Source organism: Homo sapiens, chromosome 11 (genome assembly GCF_000001405.40).
Source record: "Homo sapiens chromosome 11, GRCh38.p14 Primary Assembly".
Taxonomy (NCBI): domain Eukaryota; kingdom Metazoa; phylum Chordata; class Mammalia; order Primates; family Hominidae; genus Homo; species Homo sapiens.
Window position 1 is genome coordinate 7,793,112 of NC_000011.10, and position 1,200 is coordinate 7,794,311.

The window sequence follows — 1,200 nt, forward strand, 5'->3', positions numbered from 1 at the left end:
TATTTCTTTCAAGAAAATTAATTATTGCTTCTTGAATCATTTTTTATGGCTGCTTTAAATCTTTGTTAGAAAATTTCAATATCCGCTTCATCTTAGTCTTAGTGTTGGCATGTATTGCCTTTTCTCATTCAAGTTGTGTTTTCCTTGGAATGAAAATTGATATTTGACCATATCATGGACATTCTGAATATCATATTATGAGACTCTAAATCTCTGAATCGTGCCCAGTCTTTTTCAGCAGTCATCCTTGTTGAGCTGTAGCTGAAACTTCCAGGTATGTTCCAGTCTGCTGAAAATGGAGAGCTGACTCATACTACTTTCTTCCAGATGGGTGAGGGGAATGTTCAGCTCCCCACTGCTCTGTTGACTTCATCCCAGTGAAGGGCATTGATTTGTATGCCTCCTTACCTTTCAGGTCCTGCTTCCTGTTGGGACCAATTGACCCTAAGGAAAGGTGAGGTGGCTAGCTGGTTCACACTACCTCATTGCAGGGAGGGTTGGAAGCTCAGCTCCTCACTGGACCACCACTCACATTGGAGCAGGAGAGTCATGATGGGGGCTGTAGAATACCAGCTAGCCCTACCTCACACCATCTCATTAAGTCTTGTTGCTGCCAGGTGACAGTGGAGGCTCCTTTCTCCACTGAACCCTGCTGACATTACCCTGGCAGGGGAATCAGAGTCGGGGCAAGGTGAAGATCAGCATGAGATGGAACAGGGACTCCTCTTAGGGATCCATGGGCCCCCTCAAGCATAGAAATAACAGAAAAAAAAATTGAGTTTTTTCAAGGGAAATTTCAGACACCTAGCTAGCTCTGAGAAGTAAATGAGAAACTTGATATGAAAGAAAGTAATAGTGGCGTAAAACAATAGCCAAGGAAGTTAGAATTACGGGATGTTTGGTTCTCCTGTAGAAACTTAAGATAGCATCTTAACAACATATGTCCCTGGGTTGTTTTTCAGAAACCTGGACCCCCACCAGATGAAAAATTCCATCTGCTGGCACATAGACCTCAGATAAGGAGGAAATGAGGACTGAAGTCTGACCACAGCCATGCTTTGCTCTAAATTTCTTCCTGATGGGCATGGGAGGGGTCACACTCCAAGGCCAGAACTAATATTCTTTTCTGCTAATCCCAAAGTTTTAAACAAAGTTTTGCCTCCTGAACCAACTGCAAATCAGAAAATCTTCGAGTCCACC

The 1,200-nt window shown here is 43.3% G+C and overlaps 1 annotated feature.

The window, feature by feature from the left end:
- Positions 1-1,200: an enhancer, noted in NCBI's record as "BRD4-independent group 4 enhancer chr11:7814659-7815858 (GRCh37/hg19 assembly coordinates)". NCBI's record gives its function as "activates an origin of replication core promoter dependent on BRD2, P300/CBP, MED14 and CDK7 cofactors, and independent of BRD4, by STARR-seq in HCT116 cells {active_cell/tissue: HCT116}" and the evidence as "EXISTENCE:reporter gene assay evidence [ECO:0000049][PMID:35650434]".